The sequence below is a fragment of the Homo sapiens genome, chromosome 1 (assembly GCF_000001405.40).
Source record: "Homo sapiens chromosome 1, GRCh38.p14 Primary Assembly".
In the NCBI taxonomy this organism is placed as follows: Eukaryota; Metazoa; Chordata; class Mammalia; order Primates; family Hominidae; genus Homo; species Homo sapiens.
In genome coordinates, this window is record NC_000001.11 from 237427889 (window position 1) to 237448461 (window position 20573).

Sequence of the window (20573 nt, forward strand, 5' to 3'; positions counted from 1 at the left end):
ATGGTATTGAAGAGTGCAAGATAGTATTCGTAAAACAATAAAAAGTGGGCAAGGAATATGAACAGACACTTTTCAAAAGAAGATATTTATGTGGCCAAGAAACATGAAAAAAAGCTCAACATCACTGATCATTAGATAAATGCAAATCAAAACCACAATGAGATACCAACTCATACCAGTCAAAATGGTGATTATTAAAAAGTCAAGAAACAACAGATGCTGGTGAGGCTGTGGAGAAACAGGAACGCTTTTACATTGTTGTTGGGAATATAAATTAGCTCAACCATTGTGGACGACAGTGTGGTGATTCCTCAAGGATCTAGAACCAGAAATACAATTTGACCCAGCGATCCCATTACTGGGTATATACCCAAAGGAATATAAATCAGTCTATTATAAAGATATACATATACCTGTTTATTGCAGCACTATTCACAATAGCAAAGACATGGAATAAACCCAAATGCCCATCAATGATAGACCAGATAAAGAAAATGTGGTACATACACCATGGAACACTATGCAGCCACAAAAAGGAATGAGATAATGTCCTTTGAAGTGACATGGATGAAGCTGGAAACCATCATCCTCAGCAAACTAACACAGGAACAGAAAACCAAGTGCTACATGTTCTCACTCATAAGTGGGAGTTGAACAGTGAGAACACATGGACACAGGAAGGGGAACATCACACACCAGGGCCTCTCGGTGGGGCGGGGGTGCAAGGGGAGGGAGAGCATCAGGACTAATAGCTAATGCATGTGGGGCGTAAAACCTAGATGATGGGTTGATAGGTGCCGCAAACCACCATGGCACACTTATACCTATGTAACAAACTTGCACATTCTGCACATGTATCCTGGAACATTAAAAAAAAAAAAATACAAGTCACTGAAGTTGTAAGTTGTTAAATTTACATAACAAATAAATATAGGGTAGTACTAGTATTTATAAAACAAAATCTCCAGGAGCTACGAGGAGAAACAAACAGAAAATCTTAGTATTAGGAGATATCAAGTCACCTTTTCTCAGTTCATGATACGCACACACACCACACACCTCACACCACTGAGGGCTTTATGGTGTGTGGAGAGCTGCCGCAGAAGCCCTACCCTTAATTGGACATTCATTTTGTTCACTCAGGAATATTGCAGGGCTGACTTGAGCGGGACTGGGAACTGGGAACATGCCAACAGTTAGTGCCCTCAGAGCTTGGGAGGGTGTTCAGGAAGCAGGGACCCTGTCCTCCCACACTCCTTGGCTTTTTAAATAAAAGAATTGCTGCCATTCTGTGATTCCTTGTAAGTCAGCCAACAGAGCTGAGCATTCTCTCTAGTTGATCTCACTGAGTATCAGGACCCCCATTTTACAGATGGGGAAAACCAACGCAGGGAGGATGAGTCACTTGACCAAGTGGCCGGGCTAGGAACACAGAAGAATCGGTGGACACAGGGTTATCTCTGCACCAAAACAACTGGCCAGGGTGGGGTGGTTACATATAACTGGGCTGTAGCTTTCCAGGCTGGCTGGTTCACTCATTCAGTTCACCCCAGGCTGTAAGGACTGCCATGGGAGCCTGAGGCAGATGCTTGTCCTGTCAGGGCCTCACCCAGCTAAAGTGTCACCCCACCCCTCCACAGACTGCTGCCTGACCCTGTGTCTAACTGTGATCTCTCAAAATCCTCCCTTTCCTGCAGAAAGCTGAATAGAGTCCATCTTTCTCATTTGATTCTTTCTCTAGTAATCCTAATCCTCCTGGAGGTTGATGAATGCCTGTGACAAAGCAGGTGATTCACATGGAAATGGAAATGCAAAAAGGGAAAAGTATATTAACATACTTCAAAAATATTCTTACTTATATAGCCTTTCATCTGTTGATCTATGTATTTTTAAGTTGTGGTTGGGGGTGGGAGGGTACTGTCTTAGAAAAATAAAGTGAAAACTTGTAGGTAAAAATATACGTGCAAGTTAATTTCATCTTTCTTTGTCATGCCAAAAAAATGGAAAAGTCACACATTTGCAATAAAGATTATTCTATATCTATAATATTAAATGGTATTAGCTGTCAAAATATATTAATCTGGAAAGATATTCTTGTAAATATTGTTGAATAAAACAACATTTTATTGGAAGTATTTTTCATGGCTATCTTTCCAGATCAATATATATCAATATATTGTTATATATATTTCCAGATCAATATATATTGTTAGGTATATAACATATATAACATTCATATATATAACATATATGACATCTATATAACATATAACATATATAGTCATATGTTTTATATGTTATATCCATAACATATGTTATATGCATAACAATATATGTTGAATATGTTATATACATAATATATATTGATCTGGAGATATGTATAACAATATATTGATCTGGAAAAATATCCATGAAAATATTGTTCAGTAAAATATTGTTTTACTCAACATTTTGAGTTGTAAATTGTAATATAGGTATTGCAAATCTTATGATAGATTTTAATGTAATCTATTGTTGTAATATTAAAGGTATTACAAATATTTTTGTAATTAAAAAGAAATCTTCATACTTGTGTTTGTATATGATTTTATGGTAGTTGTGGAAGGATATACACTAATCATTTAACTCACAGTATTTTAGAAAGATCAAAATGGAAGCTGTATGAGAATATGAAGACAGAGAGAAATTTTTTCTTTAACTTAAAAAATGTATCTCTGGATTATTTTGGCTATTACAATAGTCATATTTATTTTACAATGAAATCAGTTAAAGATAAAAACCATTGCACTGACATTCTGGGACATAAGTTCTGTGCACATTTTTGATTTGTTTATTTAGGATGGATTCCTACAAATGGAAATAGTGACTTAAAAGCTGTGAATATTTTTGAATGTTCTTGATAGAGATTGCCCAAAGCAATAGCTTTTGAAACCTTTTTCTCTGAATATCCCTCCTAATATTCTCTCCATGTTAGAATAGGGCTCATATTTGAGGACTTTTGACTCTCCAGATCCTTCTGTGATTTCTGCTCAGGGATTCTGTTTCTGGAATTTGGCAATTGTGTAATGTCACAGGTTGCATGGAGGTAGAGAGGCCGAAGAGCCCAACTCAACTCTTCTTTAACTGAGCAATTTAGTTTCTCTGAAGCTACTTTCCTGCCTGGTGTTCATGGAACCACTCGAGTGTACAGGTTAATAACGCTTCCATGCTTCCAGCCACTTCATTCATACAGGTAATTTCATATGATGAAGTGGTTGAAGGCAGTGAAAGTGAAGGTGAGATTTCAAGAGAAATATTTTTTAATCACAGTATATTTTTAATTTTAGTATCACTGGAAGATTAGATAATAAATTTTTTCCCATGAACTAGAGACACTAACTCTTCCAATTATTTCTTTTAAAATGACTTCTTCTATTATATATTTAATGCATAGTCATTACAGAAAAATGTAAAGGTAGTACAAAGATGGAGAAAGGAGAAAAGTAAATCCATCACTCAGAAACAACCTCTTGTGTGTATTTGAGTTGTAAGCAAATATTACATATTTTGATGATGAACAGTGTTAATTATATATGATTTTGGGCCTAATTTTTATTTAATAACATATACTACTATATTCTTTAATAGAATTTGGCAATAATTCAACATCTTATTACATAGATTTATCATAATTCATGCAGCTACTTTATTATATTTGAATATTTAGCTTATTTTCAATTTTTCACTTTTAAGCTGAATATTTTTATCTCTGAATATTTCTATATATTGCTGACTACTTCTTTTTTGGAAGTTGTACTATTTGGTCTAAAAATGTGAAGATTTCAAGTGTTTGGTACTGGAGGCTCTCAGAGGGCAGAACAGTATCTGTTTTGTTCACCATGGATAGTGCAGTGCCTGACACTTAGTGGGGATTGCTAAATGTCCCTAGTGAGTGAATGCACCTGGCCAAAGTACTCTTCAGAACTTTGCACCAGTATTTATTCTAAGCAGCAGGGTATGAAACTTTACATTTCTGTGCGACTCATCAACAGATGATTTTAAAATCTGATAATTTTGATAGATGAAAAATCAGTTATATCTTATTTTATATTCTGTGAGTAAGTTAACCTCTTTAACTGTAAAGCTCCTATCATTTTAGAAGCAAATTATAATGATTTAGTATTCCCATGAATGAAACAAATGCCACAGTAAGCAATTTTTAGCAAATGGTCTTTTTTTTTTATTCATTTCTTGGAACGCATGTGGCTTTTACAAGCAGATGAATTTGAATTTTCCTTCCCTTCATTCCATGTATCCCAGAGCAATGACTTTAGGCTTTTTTTAAAAAAAAATGCCTTTTACAGTTTAATCTCGAGTGTACTTCAGATTATTCAAGGCATTTAATATATCTTAAATATATATGCATCTCCTAATATTTCAAATGAGCTCCGAATCATAACTTGTAGGGACAGAAACAGAATCAATAACAACAATATGTTTTCAATTGGGAACTTCTGAATGTACTAGCAAAGCTACTCTAAGACTGGGCATAAATATATTCAGTTGGGAATGGAAAGAAAATTCTTATTATCTGGTGAGTCGAAGTGGTATAGGGGGATTTGATTCTCCTGACTCAGTCTTCTCTGGGAAGGGAAGGGATGGACATTTTTTATGCCCACTTCCAAATTCTTCGAAATTCTGCTCATGTCCTAACTTGAGCTTTCTGTAATCATGGTTAGTGTCTTTCCAATTAGGGCTGTCTCTGGATATTACAAATTTGGAATTTAAAAAATGACTTTTGTTTACAACAATGCCTGACATCCAAGACTATAGTCTGGAGCTGGTGATTCAAATTCCTATTTCGTTGGTTAAAAGTAGAGCAGTGGTGTCTTTTTCTTACATCTGTTTTTCTGTCATCACTATCATTATCATCAGCATCATTTTCTTAAAGCAAATTAATGCTTCTGGATAACTTACTTCCTTTAGAATGCACAATACTCTTTTTGTTGTTTTTTTTTTTTTACCACTGTATTTTAAATTTTCTAATTCTTAGATCCCTGATTTTCAGAAGTTTGTAGATACCAATAACTTTATAAGAGGAGAGCTATAATTTAAATAAATTTAATTAAAACTATCTGCTAATTAAAATGTTTAGGTGACTGTGTGTGGGGGGGGGTATCTTAAAGAAAAGAACAAATTAGTGTGTGATTCTTGTGTAATATTTTACCCAATTTTGATTGGTAGAAAATTGGTTTTAAAATAGAAGGCATTTCTGATACTAGAAAAGTAGTTAAAATCCAGCTACAAGGTACAGAAAAAAGGGCTGTGGAACTAACATAATTTGATAGTTTAGTTTCATTTAAAATAAGTTACAAAGCACAAATAGGTATCTCAGGAAAAAATAAATGGCACAGAAACACATATCTAAAACTACACTCACATATACAGACGTGAAAAATTAGAGTAATTGATAGTGCTGATTATATTTATAATAGAATCTTGTTTTGATTGGAAGCCCAATGACATAAAAATCCATTCATGCTGAAAAGTATTTTCTGCAATTATATAATAAAGCAGCATTGAACTTATAATTATTGAAACACAATAAAAAGAGACCTTGATTAAAGATGAAAATATATATATTTTTAAGATATTGTTTCACATTGTCAACATTTCAGAGAAAATAGAATAGCTCAACAGATTCACTTAATCCCTTTGTTAGTCATCACATTTGATCATGGTCTCTGTTCTTTAAAATACATATTGGATTCACTTAAAGGTATATTTGATACTTTTTCCCCACCTCAGTGTTACTGGTAGGTTGAAAATTCTTGCCCTCTCTTTACATACTTCTGCCACATTTCCCATGAAGAAGAGTTATACTGTGGAAGGCAAACACTTTTTAAAAAATGACGTAACATATATCTTAGACCTTAGATCTTAGACATGTATCTTCTACCATATTTCCCATGAAGAGTACTTACATTATGAAAGGCAAACACTTAAAAAAAATGATGTAACATATATCTTAGACCTGAGGTATACTTTGAGTATGCAATAGTGAACTGACTGCTGGTTGACATAATTACTGTGTTGCAAATCAAGATTTATTACTGATGGAAAATCAAACTTTTCTAGGTCAGTTGCAAATCTCAGCTTTCATCTGGGTTTAGGAGTTTTGGTTTTGAAATTCTGAAAAGAAAATCAATTCTTGTGAACCCTTGCATTTACCTGAGCAGTCCCTTACCCCTAACTGTGTGAGACGGTATTGAAAGTATAAGTACATTTGGAAGATTTTATAAATCATTAAGATCATTTTAACTTTAGATTTTAAAGGTGAGACTGGCTTTAAAATTCCATGTTGCTAGTTGACATAAGGAGCATTTCCTCAATTGTCATTGGGGTGTCTTTGACAGTAATGTGAACATTCACCAGCCAGTCTCAAATACAGGATTTGAGGGAAGAATCAACAATTGCTGGCAACCCTATATATTCAGAAAAAAACTGAATAAAATAGGAAATCATTTATAATGTAACCTACTTTGGTTTTCTTTTAAGGAAAATATCTTACATAACGAAGAATGCTATTTGATAAATGTAGATTTTCTTAGAAATATTCTTCACTTTCTCTATTCCTAGAAGTTGTAACCATTGTTTTCAAGTGTGTTGAAATGTTTGTTTTAATCATAAGGCAGGTCTTGCCAATCATATGTGTATCCAATCCCCAACCCTCCAGATAAAATTTTTTAGCTTAAAATGCCACTGAAACATTTCTCTGTAGGCGATTTCCTCTGGTTTTTCCTCCCTGTGTACAATGAATAGAAGTCTTTTGCTATGGAAATGATGGAATAACAGTTTCAAATAAGACTGTCAATGAGATTACAAGAATTGTGGAACAAATGTAAAATATAAAACTTTTTTTTTGAGACAGAGTCTCTCGCTCTGTCACTCAGACTGGAGTGCAGTGGCAAGATCTTGGCTCACTGCAACCTCCACCTCCCAGGTTCAAGCAATTCTCCCACCTCAGCCTCCCAAGTAGCTGGGACTATAGGCATGCACCATCACACCCAGCAAATTTTTGTAGTTTTAGTAGAGACGGGGTTTCGCCATGTTGCCCAGGCTGGTCTTGAACTCCTGAGCTCAAGTGATCTGCCTGCCTCGGCCTCCCAAAATGCTGGGGTTACCCAGGCATGTGCTACGATGCCAGACTAAAACATTTTAAAGACATTTTTACTATATTATTTTTATCTGGATTTTTTATTTTTCATTCAGAATATGTTTCAGATGTTTTAAAATGTACACTTTCACACAGTGAAAATAAAGGTAGAGGTGAATAACTTACTATGTGTCAAACAATGTGCTGAGCACCTTTCATGCATTATCTTATTTAATCCTAACACAACTGTATGGAGTTAAGATGCTGTTTTTTTATCTTTATTATGCAGTTGAGGAAACTGAGGCTTAGACAAGTTATGTGGCAGAACCAAACTTAACTACATAGTAAGACTAAAACCCTCTTTAGTAAGAAAACTAAAGATTTTATAAAGAACTTGTAATTTTTTTTCTTATCAAAACAGTTATACAAAGTTACCCATGGAGATGAATTTTGCATTTACTTGGGATTAAATTCAAAAGAAATTTTTGCAGTAGTCTTTTCTCAAGGGGCATTGATACACTGATAAAATAGTGCCAATTATGGTTTTACAGAAGATAGAGAAATTCAGTTATAGTTGTATGCTGGTCTTTTTTAACGACTGTAAGAACGAGAATGAACCCATTGAAGCCTTCTGTGATTAACATATCATAATTTGATAGTTTAGTTTTATTTAAACTAAGTTACAAAACACAAGTGGTTGTCTCAGGAAAAAATAGATGACACAGAAATACATATCTAAAGCTACATTCTCATATATGGAAACATTGTGACGAATTAGAGTAATCAATCAGGGTTCAGCCAGAGATGCAGAACCAGTGGAGATATGTATATATTAAGGCATTTATTATATAGGTTTGCTTAATGAGATTGTGAGGGCTGGGTAAGTAAGCCTGACACCTGCCGTGCAAGTGGTCTGGCCAGGATGATTATGATCAGGCTGGAATCCTTAGGCATGGGCTGATGCTGTTGGCCACAGGTGGTAAGGAAGAGAGAACCAAGAGCAGGGTAGAGTCCCATGGAAACTAGCTGTAGTTTATGTGCTCAGGGAAAGCCTGAACCCTTTGAAAGAGCTCACCTGGTTAAGTATCATCCACCTTGGATAATCTCTCGTTTGATTTACTCATAGTCAATTGATAAGGAACCTTAATTACCTCTACAAGATCCCTTGACCTTTGCCATCTAAGGTAACCTCATTGCAGGAGTGATATCCTGTTCTATTCATTGGTCCCACGCACACTCTAGGGGAGGGTATTGTACGGGGTGTTAGAGGGCTGTTATTTAGGCACTGTGACCTTAAGCTTTGTGGCTACGGCTGTGGAAGCCCCTCATAGACCCCTTCAGCATGAGAAACTTTAAAAATCCTTTCTTTCCACAAACTCACTTACCAGAGTAACTTCTCCTGAGAAGCCGAGGGATAATGTGTGATTTTCCTTTTTTTTTTTTTTTTTTTTTTTTGCATTTCTGTCCTGGAAGGGCTAACTAAGCCTGGCCTGGCCTGTCAGTACCAGTCGTTTCTCTTACCACGTAACATTTTTAGACTTTCTTTTCACAGTGACCAACTATTCTGGGCTGCAGTGCGGCACCATAAAGGAGCAAATAAAAAAATTCTTTTGACTTTTTAATTTTTTTCTAACTTTAATCATTATTTGTCTTAAAGAGACCTGGCTATTAAGAAATCAATAAAAACTCCATCATCTGAGGATCTATTAGTTACCTGATAGAGTAATTTGGATAGACATACGGATGATTTTAACTATGCTAGAAGAATTCCTCTGAACCGCATGCTCTGTATTATAAGAAATAATTCTATAGGACTAGTTTTAGTCTTTTACTGAGTCTAGTTTTATATATCTAGTATGTATATATCACTTAGTATATCTATGTGTATAAGGCCACAGTTCTTCAGAAATAGGTATGGCTTCATTATGAGTCAGGTTGGTATACCCAATGCCAAATATTACTTAATACTTTTCAGACCAATCGTTTTTACATCTGGGTCTATTTTATTTATTTATTTTTTATTTTTATTTTATTTTTTTGAGATGGACTCTGGCTCTGTTGCCCAGGCTGGAGTGCACTGGCGCAATCTCGGCTCACTGCAAGCTCTGCCTCCTGGGTTCACGCCATTCTCCTGCCTCAGCCTCCCAAGTAGCTGGGACTACAGGCACCCGCCACCACGCTCAGCTAATTTTTTATTTTATTTTATTTTTAGTAGAGATGGGGTTTCACCGTGTTAGCCAGGATGGTCTTGATCTCCTGACCTCATGATCCGCCCACCTCGGCCTCCTAAAGTGCTGGGATTACAGGCGTGAGCCACCGCGCCCAGCCACATCTGGGTCTATTTTAATATTCATTTGAAAATTAGATGTTCCAAGCACTTACGAATGGGATTATTTGAATGCTCATAATGGGAGTAGTTTGTCAGCACAGTTTTTATGGGAAATCTGAAGGGATTTCCAGAAATTCATCAAGGATCTGACATTTGCAGGCTGTTCTGGTCCTGAGGTTATGTGGGGTCAGGCTGGAGGAATCAGACATATGATTCCTGCTGTCAAAAAGGTGAATGATAGTCAAGTGGAAAGAAGACAATTGAGGAACAGTTTTAACAAAGTGCCAACATTTCCCTGATAGTGAAAGTACAACATGCTATGAGAGTACATGAATGAAAAGAGAAAATATCCATACGCACCTCTTAGACTGAAAAAGCAGTGCTTGCAATAATTCTAGACTGTGCTGAAAAGAGTCATTTTATCTTTGAGTATTTTTATAGCTCTTAAGGTCTCAAGATTATTCTTGCAGGATAGAAGACTATAAAAGTTAAAAATTTACAGGTTTTAATGAATAAGATAATGCTTATAAGATAATGCTAAGATTAGGAGGATCTTGACATTTTCTTGATTAAATGTAGGAGGCATAGGAATTAAATTTTATATAGTCTTTTGAAGGAGGTTTCCATTTAATAGCAAAATACTTAAGCTAGAGTGTTTTAATGGCAATCTGATCTACAGATTGAAAAATTTCTACTGATTAACTTTTAATTTCATTAACTCTTTTTTATACAATTCCAATCTGATGCTAAGCTGACCCAGTTAATTTTGTATTTAAATTATTTTCATTTTTCTATTTCATTTATTTTTGTGATGTATAATTTAGCTCTATTCATTATGTATGTGTTTTCCTTTATATTTTTGAACATATTTTATATTTATAATAGTTGCTGTAAAGTCCTCGTCTGCTAGTTGTAGGATCTGGGCCATCTTTGCATTGATTTGTATTGCCTATACTCTTGTTGTTTTTGTTTTTCCAAAAAATATAGCTCACATTTCTAGTTTCTTTGTATCTGCTTATTTTTGACAGTATATTGGATATTGGGAATGATATGTAGTAGAGGCTCTGAATTTCAAGTTTTTTTCTGAAGAGTGATTTTGGTTTTGCAGGCAGTTAACCTTGTTGGGTTGAAACTTCAGTTTTCTCTCTTTTACATGAGGAGTTGCTTATATTTTTACTCAAATCTTTCAGCTTCCATCTGTTGCCATTATACTGGACTTTCCTCCAGCATACATAGTCAGCAGAATTTGGATAATTTTTTTACAAAGATTTTGTAGATAACTTTGTGTCCAGGATTTAGCCCATCTAATTATTTTGTTGCTTGTGGTCCCTGAAGCATATCCTCTGATACCTCAAGCCCATAAAGCAGCAGATTGCTGCTGCCAGAGTAGCAGACAGATTGGGCACTGCATGCCCCAAGGCAAAAGGCAGCCACCTACCAATCACGCAAGGTGCTATTTGTCTTTTGAGAGATCTACTTTTCAATTTCTTCCTGCTTTTGGTCCAAGTGCCTTTAAGTCAATTCTTAAAAGGATTTTTTCCAAATTTTATAATAGTTTCTATAGGAGAATTCACTCCAGTGAATTACTTCATCATTTTCCAAAGTAGAACAACTCAAAAGAAAAATAAAATTTAAAAGCTGATGCCAAAATTAAGGCCATTAATATAGATATGGTACAGCTAATACAGAGTTTTAGTAAGATTATTACTTGCCTAATCTGAGCACTTTATTTCCAGTAATACAGGCTACTATTCTGTTGGATGCTTTTACTAGATGTCACATTTGTTGTTCATGCTGTACTTCAGCTTACGGTCATTCAAAGGATCTAGATTATTTTCATCTGAATTTCTCCTAAGCCTGAGCTACAGAAAATGACAGGAGATAAAGAAGGAAAGAACATGGATGGCCTTTGGTCTTTCATTCAGCAAGTGTTCTCACTTATTTTTTCTAATGTAACTTCAGCATTTTTTACCTCACTCAAGGGTCATAGTAATTATTAAAACAGTCATCGGCCGGGAGCGGTGGCTCACACCTGTAATCCCTGCCCTTTGGGAGGCCGAGGTGGGTGGATCACCTGAGTTCAGGCGTTTAAGACTAGCCTCACCAACATGGTGCAATCTGTCTCTACTAAAAATACAAAAATTAGCAGGGTGTGGTGGTGGGCGCCTGTCGTCCCAGCTACTCGGGAGGCTGAGACAGCAGAATTGCTTGGAACCAGGAGGCTGAGGTTACAGTGAGCTGAGACTGTGCCACTGCATTCCAGCCTGGGTGACAGAGAAAGACTCCATCTCAAAAAAAAAAAAATCATCATCACGATATTTCACAATTAAATCTTCTAATCCAGAGACGGATGTGAAATACATCAATAAAATACAAAGAAAGCATAATTTCACAATTAATGTTTACGTGACTTCTTAATATATAATCCATGCACCCATAAATAGTCTAGACACAAACCAATTTGCTTGAAGAAAAGACCAAAAAAAAAAAATGTTAGAGGCTCACTGTTCTATTCTGAAGAGATAATTACAGTGTTCTATTTTTATCACAGAATTTAATTTTTCTATTGACAGGGTTGGTAAAAGTAGATTAGTAGTTTATCTAGGTTGATAGAATGAAATTGGAATGGTTTTATTGTCTGTTTTATTACAGATACTTAGAATAGTGTTTCAGGTTATTTGCATAATGATTGAATCAACTTAATTGATAATTATATATTTTCTTAGTTGACCTTGACATTTTGTGTTAAAAATTTCAACTCATTTTAATTTTAATTTTCAATTGTTTATGGAGTGTTCATAATCATTTTCAGGTCATTAATTATTAATACATTATGCAAATGACATGAAAAATCTGTTAAACCTTGGGGTTATTTTAAAATTGTTCGTTTTTGTTTAGCAGACATACATTTTACTCTGACTGAATCTTCAAAACATTCGTTTAACTATAATTCTAAATAAAAGTCATAAGACCAAAGACATAGAAGACACGTAAAGTAAATTAACAAGGAAGGTTAGACCAAGGAAGAAAAAAGAATAAGAGACTAAAGAAAGGAGGTACCTTTGGCTTTTTCATTGCTGCTTTAGGGACTGTACAGGACTTTAAGACATAGTGAGTTCCTGAAGATCACAGCTATGCATGGGAGGAAAAATGGAAAGAGTATGTTGGAGGAGGAAGTGCTGACATAAACAGAGATTTGAAAAAAACATTTGGCTGGTGTCAGAGGATGGATTGCTACTTCCTAGGAGAGGAAGCTTGGCATAGTAGTCCTTTAAGAGTGAATACCTCTGTAGTCTGAGTTGGAAATTGCAGTAGTAGAAACTGAATTTTAGCTTTGATTAGTTCAAAATAAATAATCATTTTAATAGGTTCATTAACAATCGTTGTCACCGTTATTATTGTCAAAGTTGTCAAAAAATTTTGAAGTGTTTATCCCGGGGACACTATTCTGAAATCTACATGCATTATCTTAATTTTTTTTTGATCCTATGGAGAGGTACCTTATTAGCTTTATTTATGGATGAGAAAACTGAGGCTTAAAAGGTTTAATTAACTTGCTAACATCTTAGAGGTAATGAGTGGCAGAGGCTGGACTCAAAATTAAATCTCTCTGTCCCCCAAATCTATGCTCTTAATCACTAATAATGAAAAAAAAAAATCCACAAAAACCCAGGAAGTATGTTTAGCTTAACTACTGATTTTAAGATCTCTGGTTTGGAGTTGGCCATTATGCAACATAAAATTTAAAAATTTTACATTATGGCAAAAATAGTGTTTTACCAATGTGAATAATTCAAGCATAAGTTAGAGGTCGAACTGTTAGAGTAAAATATTTGGCCATTATTTCAGGGGACTTCAGAGGGCTGAATTTTTCAAGGAACATATTTGCAATAAGGCAAAATTCTATTGCCATACACTAGTATTTTTGAAATGTTTACTGACCTTTTTTTCCTCCTCTCCCCTTAGGAAAAATTGGATGTAGGGGTGAGAAAAGAAGTAGATGGCATGGGAACATCTGAAATAAAATACGGTGACTCAGTATGCTATATACAACATGTAGACACAGGCCTATGGCTTACTTACCAGTCTGTGGACGTGAAATCCGTGAGAATGGGATCTATACAACGTAAGGTAAGGTGATAGAAAAAAACATAATTTATAGAAGTAATTTTTTATGAATACACAAGCACAAGTCAAAAATAATTGGCTGATCTTTTTAGTCACCTGCAAAAGTTCATAATTTTGCAAGTGAAAGGGCAGATTCCACTGTAATAGACTCTTTAGCTTTGTAAAGTGAACAGAGTTGGATGTTACATCACTCATATATAGGATTATGGGATGCGTGCATTTAAATATGAAGTGAAGAAATATACAGTGCCGTCTTCTGGATTCTAGTTTAGTACCGTTCACTTTGTCCTCCATGCTGTGACAAAGTCCGTTACTGACATCCCCTTGCTTACAGGAAGAGGCCCACTTTTTGAGGTCCCCAGAAGCCAACAAGCCAGAAATTAAACTAAACACAATCTAAGGAGGGGGCGGGGTCAGAAAGGAAAGGAAGAGTTAAAGGTGTGTAATTGTGACTTATTCTGTCTTCATTACTAGACTCTGAGATTGGAACCAAGTCTTTGATTTATGTATATTCAGCATCTAGCAGAGTGCTGAAACCATAGTAGGTGCTCAATAAATGTTTCTTGAATGAAAACATGTATTTTCAAGGATGTGGAGTTATAATTGAGTTGGTGAGATTGCCCATGCACCTGCTAACTTGGTCTTCAACTGCATTAGCTTTGCAGAATTATGAGCCAGGGTGAGCTGGGTTAGCATTCTCAAGGTGAACACCTAATGTTGTCGAAATTGTGGCAGAAGAGGTTGATTTGGCTTTAAAGCAAATTTTTCTTTTGATAATGACGTTTGGTCATGGTTCTTCTACTAGATTTAGCAGATGTTATCTTTTTCTTTTTTTCTTAATATTTTACTTATAAAAATTTCAACTATAAAAAAGTTAAAAGACTAAACCAATAACCATCCACATACCCTTGAATTAGAGTCAACAATTATTATAGTTAGCCAGATTTGCTTTCCTTTCCTCCTGTCTTTCTTTTCTCTGTGTGTGTGTATGCAGTCAGACATCCACAGTACAGTTACATAGCATTAAGGTAATTCTATTACATCATTGACTATCCTGTTTGTATTCATATTTATTCTGTTATCTCAATAATATCTTTTCTAGTTGATTAAAATCAGGATGCAATCAAAATTCATGCACTTATTTATTTTTATGCCTTTCAGTCTCTTTTAATGTAGAACAAATTCTCAGCTTATTTTTTTCCTGTAGCATCGAGTTTTTAAAAAATCCATGCCAGTTATAGAATGCCTCATGTTCTGGATGTGTCTGACTTTTTTTCCCCATTGCCTATGCTCTTGGTAATTCCCATGAACTTGCAGCTAGGTATAAGGCTGTGCTGTCCAAATCAGTAACTGCTAGACACATGTGGCAATTTGGTATTTGTATATAACTCGAACTAGATGAACACAATTTTTAGTTTTGTTTAACTTTAATTAAATTTTAAAAACGCACACTTAAATTGTTGGAAAACTTTTATGTATGTTTGGAACAAGTTGGGTATGTGAATCTACTTTTCCAACCATGTCTTTGGTTCCTGTTTTCGTGCCATTTTAGTCTGCTGGTTTCTTTCTCAGGAACATGGCTGTCTTTCCTCACAGTGTTCTCCCTGACCTTTTCTCTACACTTCGCTTCTCAAGTGTGTCTTCCAAAGTACTCATTTTTTTCTTTGGTGCTGTTCTGTTCGTAAGCCCTTTCTGTACCTTTAAAATTTTAGTTTTCATGCTTTTTTTTTCTTGTCTTTATCTCACCCAGCTCACCTTTTTATCTCAGCTTGCTGTTCTTTCATCTGGTCTGCTGGTTTATTATCTCAGCATATTTTCCCATTGTGAATTTCCACTCCTATTTTATCGAAGTCGTAACTTGCATCCTGAGGACAGTTGAAATTGTTTTTATGTTTAAGTAGCCTCCTGCTATTTCAATTTTACTTAGCTTTTTAAAAATAGCAATGATTACTGAATTTTATTAATAAAGAAGATAAAAATCATGTGTTGTGTCTTTTAACTTGTTGATAAAATAACTAAGTTACCAGACCTCCAATTATTAAAGAGTTCTTAAATTCACAGAGTAAACCCTACTTGACCATAGTGTATGATTCTTTTGAAATTCTACTAGATTTAATTAATTAATATGTTATTCAGAATTATTACATGTATATTTACGGGGGAAGTTAATTTCTCTTTATGGACATTGAATTTTGAATTTCATACAATCTTTGTGTTTATTAATTTTTATGTGTCACAAAACACCATTCTACTCTGGTCTTTTTTTCAACCATTTAAAAATGTAAACACCATTCTTAGCTCATGGGCTATACGGAAACAGGTGATGTGCTGTAGTTTGCCAATCCTTGGTCTAGACTAGTCTGCCATGAAAGGTAGCTGTTCTTTGAAACTTTATCACAGCTCACCTGTGAAACCAGCTGGTCCTAGGTCTTTTAAATATTGTATATTAAATTATCTTTTCAATCCTTTTCTAAAGAAACTGGTCAAATAGAGTTGGATTCCTTTTGATTAGTCTTATTTGGCTAAAAATCTATTCTATTCCCCTGGAATACCCAGTTTTGTTTGGTTGGTTGATTTTTGGTTTTGCCATGGAGTTGCACACAGTATTGTATTATTGTAATTTCCCATTCTTTGTGTTTTTACTTTCTGTTTTATCTTTAGCCTGGTTTGTGAGAGCTTTGTTTTATTTATCATCACAAGGAATCAAATTTTGAGTTTATAAATCTTTTCTAGTACTTTATTTGACTTCTAGTTTAGTAATTTCACTTAATCTTCATTAGTTCCACTTTTCAACTCTCTTTGCTGTTCTATTTTTAGGACATGAAAACCGCAAGTTCTTTCATTTTAGTCATTCTTTTCTTTATTAATCAGGGCACTTAAGGCTATAATATTTTGCCTTTGAATATAGATATATCTGTGTCTCACTCATTTTTTATATAAGGAGTTTCCTCTTTACATTGCTTTCTAGATAATTTATAGTTCCAGTTCCTAGATTTAGTTCAGTACACCTGGGTAGGTGTATTAAATTATCTTGCTATAAATGTTGAATGAAGATAAGCACAGATGGGAACAAACGGTTCTACTTATATATAGTACACAACTGATCTGTGCTGTCAAAAGTCTGCAAGGTGGTGAACCTTGTGAAGGATAGGGATAGGAAGAGAGCACTAAGGAGGATTTTGAGATACCGTAATGTTTTCTTTCTTGAGCTGGGTGTTGGTCATGCAGGAATGTTCACTTGTGAAAATCATGGAACTGTTTTCTTAAGATTTTTGCATTTCTCTTTCCTAACATTATAGTTTCATAGAAAGTTCAAAAACAAAAAACTATCAAAAGAAAAGAAATATATGTATACATTTTTATCATTTAGATGATTTATAAGCATTGTTCAGTGCTTATTATTGACCAGTCTATGTTCAGAACTACTGTATGACTGGTGTGCCAGTGCAACGTTAGCTTTGCTGCTTTGTACCAAGTTTGCTTAGGCTGAGGATCAGTCGTTCAATGTAGATATGTGAAAAGGCTCTGCTGTTTGTTTTACTCGACTCATTGCATTTTTTGAGTAGTTCTTTAAAATGATAACTGAGATGGGCAAGGTGATGGGGGCTTGTAATTCTAGCTATTCAGGAGGCAGAGGGAGAAGGATCACTGAAGCCCAGGAGTTCAAGACCAGCCTGGGCAACATAGCAAGACCCCATCTCAAAAAAATGAAGTAATAACTAAATGAATAAATGGAATGGCTAATTTGTATAGGGAGCTGTGCATATGATTTTATCTGAACGTAACAGCTTCACAGTCCCCTGTACCTGCCTTTTGATTCTATCTGTTGTTATGGCTCAGCTGTTTGAGTACACATCTCCCTAACTCTAGTTTGGAAAAGAGACGTTGGGAGTAATGGCCTTATTTTTGCTTTCTTACAGGCTATTATGCATCATGAAGGCCACATGGATGATGGCATAAGTTTGTCGAGATCCCAGCATGAAGAATCACGCACAGCCCGAGTTATCCGGAGCACAGTCTTCCTTTTCAATAGATTTATAAGGTACTTTTTCTTTTGTAGGCGTAGTTGTTTGATACTTCATTTTCATTTCTTTATTGGATATGCAAATAGACAATTTAAAAGTATGCTATGATGGTAATAAATCTCATACTGTTTGGTAAGTCAGCAGAAACGTTAGGAAGTGTTAATGAGATGATTTAATGTCTTTCTTTTAAATAAACTTTTAAAAAGAATATGGTTTTGGAAATTGGATGTGTAATTTGTAATTGATAGGTATAGATTAGGATGATTTAATGACTACTTTTCCTTGTACTGAACCTATTTAGTTCCTTTTTCTTTTCCTTTTTTCTTTTTGAGACAGAGTCTCACACTGTCATCCAGGCTGGAGTGCAGTGGTGCAGTCTCGGCTCACTGCATCCTCTGCCTCCTGGGTTCAAGCGATTCTCCTCCCTCAGCCTCCCGAGTAGCTAGGATTACAGGTGCTCACCACCATGCCTAGCTAATTTTTGTATTTTTAGTAGAGATAGGGTTTCACCATCTTGGCCAGGATGAACTCGATCTCTTGACCTCATGATCCGCTCTCCTTGGCCTCCCAAAGTGCTGGGATTACAGGTGTGAGCCACCGTGCCCAGCCTAGTTCCTTTTTCAATGAGGGCAGTGAAGCCTATATAGCTGCGGAGTTTTGATATGTATTTTTTTAAAGTAATTCTCATAAGAACTGTTCTTCCACCTAATAATTGCATATCTATAGACTAAATTAAACTTGTGACCAACATGTTTTCTGGTAACATTATACCAACATATGCTCTGACTTGCGAGAGATTGCATTTGTCTCTTTAAACTTTGCTAATTTGATGGGGGAAACTTTTTGTTGACCATCTTTCTTCATTTATTTTTTCTTTTGTGTTTAATCCTATTATTTGTTAATATTTCTGTTAAGTTGTTCTGAGCTTTTGTTATGTTTAGAGATATTCATTTCCTGTCATCATAAGTTGCAAACCTTTTTACCAGTTTATTGGTTTGGGAAAGAATTTGAAAGGATTTTTGTAGTAGTTGAATTGGTAAATTTTTTTTTTGGCTTTACAGCATAAAACAAATCTCCCCTACTCAAGATTATATTATTTTCTACTTCTTTTATAAACCATCTCTTTTATAAACCATACACACTGTGTGTATATGTGTGTGTGCCTGTATGTAACCAAAAAATGTGCACAGCATTTGGCCACACATCCTAAGTGTTTAGTCCATTTTTCTGCCTCGTCTCAACTCCAAGCCTCATCAGATGCAGTAAAGCTTAAATCGAATGGGGTATGCACCACATTTTTGTATTTTTTATTACTTGTATTACTTTTCAGTATTATTTGTATTCTTGTAGTTTAATATAGTATTTATTTCTTACAGTAAAAATTTATTACATTTTAATGCATTATAAAACTAGTCAAGAAGTTCTACTTGGAAATTATAACTTATTTTGGAAACAAACTTAGCCTTTTCATATCTTGTTCTTCCCACTAGTTTTTCTTTACTAGAGCTGATCAATCCTATGATAGGGATTGAGCAAATTAATCATAAATCTTTGAAATTGTCGATTTTATATTTAGTCAACACTGACTTCTTCAAATATGAGGGACTTTTTAAAATTCAATTTGACTGCTGTAGAGTATTCAGTGGCACTGCAGAGATACCATTTGGTAGGTTAATTTAATACTAGACCAAAAACTGGTTATTTGTTTTGAAAACTATTTTGTGGGAAAGCTACTATCTCAGTGTTATAGACATAATGTAGTGCTAGTATACCATAAGTGACATTTTTTTATGCTGGCTGAAATACCAAAATTCATCTTGAATGTGATTTACTTTAGCACATCTGCTCTTTGGAAGAATAATTTTAAAATTTAACTATTACTTTTCTGATTAGATAGAGTACCAAGTATGAGAAATTTGGATTCTGTGATAAAAAATGTTGAATTATACACTTTCTGCTTTATTAAATCTTGAAAATTATTTTTTGTCTGGGCTATTTGAGTGAAATTCATTTGTTATACCTGTCATGATAAAATAGGATGGTTACATTAACCCCTATTAACTATGAAAAGATTTTCTGATTCCCAGTCTCATTTTTTCTATTTTCTTTCTTCTTGCCTTGCTCTCTTTTTTCTAACTTTATAAGATGAATGCTGATATTATTGAGACCTTTGTTGACATAAACATTTAGTGTTATACATTTCTGTTTTTAGTGGTACCTCACACCTTTTGATTTTCCTTTCTTCTTTCTTTCTTTTCTTTCCGTCTGTCTCTCTCTCCTCCCTCCTTTCCTTCCCTCCTTCCTTCCTTCCATCCTTTCCTCCCTCCCTCCCTCTTTCCCCTCCCTCCCTCCCTCTTTTCTTTTTTCTTTCCTTTTCTTTTCTTTCTTTCTGTCTTTTCTTCTTTCCCCTCCCCTTTCCTCCCTCCCCTCTCCCCATTCTGCTCTTCACTCTCATTCTGTCGCCCAGACTAGAGTGCAATGGCCCTATCTCTGCTCACTGCAACCTGCCTCCCAGGTTTAAGCAATTTCTACTGTGTCAGCTTCCCAAGTGGCTAGGATTACAGGTGTGCATCACCACTCCTGGCTAATTTTTTTATTTTTAGTAGAGACGTGGTTTCACCATGTTGCCCAGGCTGGTCTCGAACACCTGATCTCAAGTGATCCACCCACCTCGGCCTCACAGAGTGCTGGGATTACAGGCGTGAGGCACCACACCCGGCATTGATATGTTTTCTTTCAGTTTCCCCTTTGATGACTTCTTTGACCAATAGATTTTTTCAGTTTCCAAATATTCGGGGATTTCCTGAGTATTTTTCTGTTACTAATTTCTAATTTAATGCCATTATGGTCAGAGAATATACTTTGTGAGACTGATCGCTTTGAAATTTATTAAGACTTGTTTTATGGCTTAGAATAAACTTTATTTTGGTAAATGTTTCATGTGAATTTGAAAAGA

At 35.1% G+C, this 20573-nt stretch overlaps 1 protein-coding gene across 18 annotated transcripts in view; it reads left to right on the forward strand.

Moving 5' to 3' along the window:
* Positions 1–20573, forward strand: part of RYR2 (ryanodine receptor 2) — a 791805-nt gene that overhangs the window by 385705 nt on the left and 385527 nt on the right. For all 18 annotated transcript variants that reach the window (XR_007062490.1, XR_002957299.2, XM_006711802.4 and 15 more), the window contains 2 exons: positions 13431–13595; positions 17513–17634. Coding sequence is in view for 16 of the 18 variants with exons in the window: in XM_006711802.4 (XP_006711865.1) it covers positions 13431–13595; positions 17513–17634 (287 nt within the window). In the remaining 2 variants the exon portion in view is untranslated. The remainder of the gene's footprint in view (positions 1–13430; positions 13596–17512; positions 17635–20573) is intronic.